Source organism: Homo sapiens, chromosome 5, assembly GCF_000001405.40.
Source record: "Homo sapiens chromosome 5, GRCh38.p14 Primary Assembly".
Classification (NCBI taxonomy): domain Eukaryota; kingdom Metazoa; phylum Chordata; class Mammalia; order Primates; family Hominidae; genus Homo; species Homo sapiens.
The window spans coordinates 126,595,251-126,600,028 of record NC_000005.10 but is presented as its reverse complement, the minus strand read 5'-3'; the positions used below and the strand labels follow the sequence as shown (position 1 = coordinate 126,600,028).

Sequence of the window (4,778 nt, the reverse complement as noted above, 5' to 3'; positions counted from 1 at the left end):
GAACAGGCTATGACCTAATGCTTGCTTGGACTAGTAAAAGCATGCCAGGGCAAATATTTAGGCTAAATTGTGGGAGCTAAGAACATAAAGTACATTTTTTTTTATTATGGCTAGCAGATATTTAAGAATGTTAGCACAGATCTTTGAATAAATTTTGCTTTTAAGAGAAGTTACTATTTATTCCTAATTAGACGGGGAGGAAAGTTTTTGAAGAGGAACCTCTGTTTTACTTTGCCACATGGCAAACAAGGTCATGTGGACTGGGCATCTGGTCACTGGTCCTAGTGTGTCCCCCTGCCTAACCGCTGGCGCGCTGAACCTGTTGTTCCTCAGGCCAGGCCTCTGCATTTGCTGTTCACTCGGCCTGAGAGGCCCTTCCCTCAACCCACCCCATTCTTTAAGGGTTATCTTGGAACCCGCCTTTGCGAAAATTATAACAGTGAGAAAATTATGGCAGTGGGAGAGATCTGATCTAGCCAACCCCTATCTTGCTTTTAGCCTTCAAGCTGCCCTTAATTATTCCTGTGCTTGGGCCTGTCAATGTAACTTTGGGAGACATTTAGTTTATAGTTTAAATGATAATAACCCTTCCCCAAAAGCCAACCGCCTTTGTAAAGCTAGTAAGAGACCACCAGGGTAGACGGATAAAGGAGGCTGAATTCTGCTAAGGTGTAGACATAAACCGTTGCCAGTCATTATCCCAGAGGTCACAAGGTATGCAACTTTTCCATTACTCTTCCAGATAATATCACTATTGTAGACCCTAAGATTGGCGTTTTGAGATATCTTTTCAGATATTTTGCATGTCTGACTACCAATGGTTCCACCTGAACCTCTAACCGCTTCTGGGTTCCCACACAGAAGTTGTCGAGCTGCTTGAGGACAATTTCCCATACCCCTATGACTGCATCCCCAACCAATAAGCAGCAAGAACCCATTGCTTAGCCACTCCATCCCTTCCCCAAACTATCTTTGAAAAACACTAGTCCCTGAATTCTCCAAGAGATTGATTTGAGTAATAACTCTGTCTCCCACGTGGCATGGGTGGCCTCCTGTCTATTAAATTCTTTCTTCTTTTTGAGACAAGAGTTTTGCTCTGTCTCCTAGGCTACAGTGCAGTGGCAAAATCTCGGCTCACTGCAGCCTCTGCCTCCTGGGTTCAAGCGAGTCTCATCCCTCAGCCTCCCGAGTAGCTGGGATTACAGGCATGCACCACCAGGCTCGGCTAATTTTTGTATTTTTAGTAGAGACGGGGTTTGACCATGTTGGCCAGGCTGGTCTTGAACTCCTGACCACCCTGACTCCTGATCTACCCTCCTTGGCCTCCCAAAGTGCTGGAACTACAGGCGTGAGCCACAGCACCTGGCTCCTCTGCCACTTTTAATACAGAACTGTTTTAAGGTGTCCTGAGTTTAGCCACTGCATTTTCATTTCTACAGGGCTTTGCAGTTTTCAAAGTGCTTTCATATATGATTCATTTAATTCTGTCTCTTCCTGCTCAACCTCATTACAATTCATCATTTCTGATTTTTCCTGAACTCCTGTTAAGCAGGGCTAACAGGAGTTTTGAAAAAAGGATGTAGAAGAAGGATGCAATCCCTGTTTTCAATGTGAGCAGTTGCTGGTGCCTATATTCCCAGAATTGGCTTATTTATTTTTTGAGACAGGGTCTTGCTCTGTCCCCCAGGCTGGAGTGCAATGGTATGATCTTGGCGCTCTGCAACCTCCATCTCCTGGGTTTAAGCGATTCTCCAGGCTCAGCCTCCCAAGTAGCTGGGACTATAGACGTGTACCACCACATCCAGCTAATTTTTGTATTTTTAGTAGAGATGGGGTTTCACCACGTTGGCCAGGCTGGTCTCGAACTTCTGATCACTCAAGTGATCCTTCCATCTTGGCCTCCCAAAGTTCTGGGATTACAGCTATGAGCCACTGTGCCCAGCCAGCCAGAATTGGTTCAGAAGGATGGGCACACTTCTCTTCTTGACTTGAAGAGAGGGCAGCCAACACTCCTTGATGACACTATGTGTTGCTCCTAATCCTTTGTGCCTCTATGTATTTTAATTTCGTTGAAGTGAATGGAAGAGAAGAGAAGGAAGAATGTGGTTTTGGGATATGTGGACAAATAATCTTGTTGGCTGATAGAAAGTGATGAGAATCAGTTAAAATGTCTGAGAATTAGCCGGGCGCGGTGGCTCATGCCTGTAATCCCAGCACTTTGGGAGGCCAAGGCGGGCGGATCACGAGGTCAGGAGATCGAGACCATCCTGGCCAACGTGGTGAAACCCTGTCTCTACTAAAAATTGAAAAATTAGCCAGGTGTGGTGGTGAGTGCCTGTAGTCCCAGCTACTCAGGAGGCTGAGGCAGGAGAATCACTTGAACCCGGGAGGCGGAGGTTGTGGTGAGCCAAGATTGCACCACTGCACTCCAGCCTGGGGACAGAGTGAGACTCCGTCTCTAAATAAATAAATAAATAAATAAATAAAGTCTGAGAATTAAAATTAGAAAAATTAGCACCATGGTCCTCCGTGTAGATGGAAGACAGCAGCAGGGTTGTTGATAGAGATTACCAATGTCAGATAGGGCATTGCAACTCCTTCGACGGTGTTATTCATTGGTTCATTTGTTCATATACTCATGTAAGTGAGCGTAAACTTGGAACAATGCTAGGAACTGTGGAGCAATGCAAAGATGAGTCAGAGATGGTCCTTGCCCTAACAGGAAAAAACTGTAGCATTTACAAAAGGAAGCATCATTCATGTATGCCTAGTACTAACTGCAGTTTCTGGTAGCTGCTTGATACATGCAGAGTGTTTGTTCAAATCATTTGTACTATAAGGGTGGAAGAGATAAAGCTTATGTTTGAATGCAGAGATGAAAGGGGCCAGGAGTGGTGGCTCAAGCCTGTAATCCCAGCTCTTTGGGAGGCGCAAGGCAGATCCCTTGAGCCGAGGAGGTGCGGACCAGCCTGGGCAACATGGGGGAACCCTGTCTCTACAAAAAATCCTCAAAAATTAGCTGGGTGTGATGGCATGCCTGTAGTCCCAGCTACTTGGGAGGTTGAGGTAGGAGGATCACTAGAGCCTCGGAGGTCGAGGCTTCAGTAAGCCATGATCCTGCCACTGCACTCTAGCGTGGGCAAGCATATTTTAAACTCATGTTCAAATAATGATGATTGAGATATTAGTATTTCCGTTTTACAGGGTAGGCCCAGTTGTTGTGAAATGAGATGGGGCATGCATGAATGGAAAGGATATTGTAGGAAGACAGAAATGGAGAATGAAAGAAATTGATCAAAACTGTCTTTATTCTTTAAGAGTAAGAGCTGGGCGTGGTGGCTCACACCTGTAATCCCAGCACTTTGGGAGGCTGAGGTGGGCGGATCACGAGGTCAGGAATTCGAGACCAGTCTGGCCAACATAGTGAAACCCCTTCTCTACTCAAAATACAAAAAATTGGCCAAGCGTGGTGGTGGGCGCCTGTAATCCCAGCTACGCAGGAGGCTGAGGCAAGGAGAATCGCGTGAACCCGGGAGGCGGAGGTTGCAGTGAGCCGAGATTGCGCCACTGGACTCCAGCCCTGGCAACAGTGCGAGACTACGTCTCAAAAAAAAAAAAAAAATGTAAGAATAGGCCGGACACAGTGGCTCACGCCTGTAATCCCAGCACTTTGGGAGGCAGAGGCGGGCAGATCACGAGGTCAGGAGTTCGAGAGCAGCCTGGCCAACAGGGAGAAACCCCGTCTCTACTAAAAATACAAAAATTAGCTGGTGTGGTGGTGTGCACCTGTAATCCCAGCTACTGGGGAGGCTGAGGCAGGAGAATCACTTGAACCTGGGAGGTTGAAGTTGCAGTGAGTGGAGATCGTGCCATTGCACTCCAGCCTGGGCGATAGGGCGAGACTCCATCTTAAAAAAAAAAAAGTAAGAGGCCGGGCGCAGTGGCTCATGTCTCTAATCCCAGCACTTTCGGAGGCTGAGGCGGGCAGATCATCTCAGGTCAGGAGTTCCAGACCAGCCTGACTAACATGGTGAAACCCCGTTTGTCCTAAAAATACAAAAAATTAGCCGGGTGTGGTGGTGCACACCTGTAATCCCAGCTACTCAGGAGGCTGAGGCAAGAGAATCCGCTTGAACCCGGTAGGCGGAGGTTGCAGTGAGCCGAGATCGCGCCGTTGCACTCTAGCTTGGGCAAGAAGAGCGAAACTCCGTTTCCAAAAAAAAAAAAAAAAAAAAAAAGTAAGAATATACCCAGGCAGGATATTTATAGAGGAAATGCAGCAATCTAATATTTATCATTAATTAGAAAACTTTAATTTGTAATCTACCAAAACAGTGAAAACAACCAACCCTTCCCCCGCCCCCCAATACAAACCCTCCGTTGCCTACTCCAGGGACAAGAGGCGTCACCATCGCTGAGGAGCTGGTTAGGAATGTCGGCTCTCCGACCCTAGCCCAGACTTACTGAATCAGAATGTGCATTTACCACGACGACCAGGTCATTACACGCATTTTACAGTTTCAGAACCCCTGCTATAGCCTACTGTACTTCAGCGCCAATATTTTGCTGAAAAGAATTCCCAGCTGGAACTGTGGCTCCCGGAGTCTTTCACCAGATGGCAGCAGCCCACTCCTCCCTGTAGCACTCCCATTGTTCCAGGCAGGATTCAGCCGCAGGCTCCTCCGGAAGACCAGGGGCAGACGGGGCGGTGGCGGGGTCGTGCCCAGTGGGAGGGGTCGGGTCTGCCCAATGGGTTCTCCCGGGCGGGGGGCGGGGCT

At 47.7% G+C, this 4,778-nt stretch overlaps 1 annotated feature.

Moving 5' to 3' along the window:
• Positions 2,343 to 2,506: a silencer, noted in NCBI's record as "fragment chr5:125933215-125933378 (GRCh37/hg19 assembly coordinates)". NCBI's record gives its function as "represses an EF-1alpha promoter that drives an FKBP-Casp9 reporter gene in an ReSE screen in K562 erythroleukemia cells {active_cell/tissue: K562}" and the evidence as "EXISTENCE:reporter gene assay evidence [ECO:0000049][PMID:32094911]".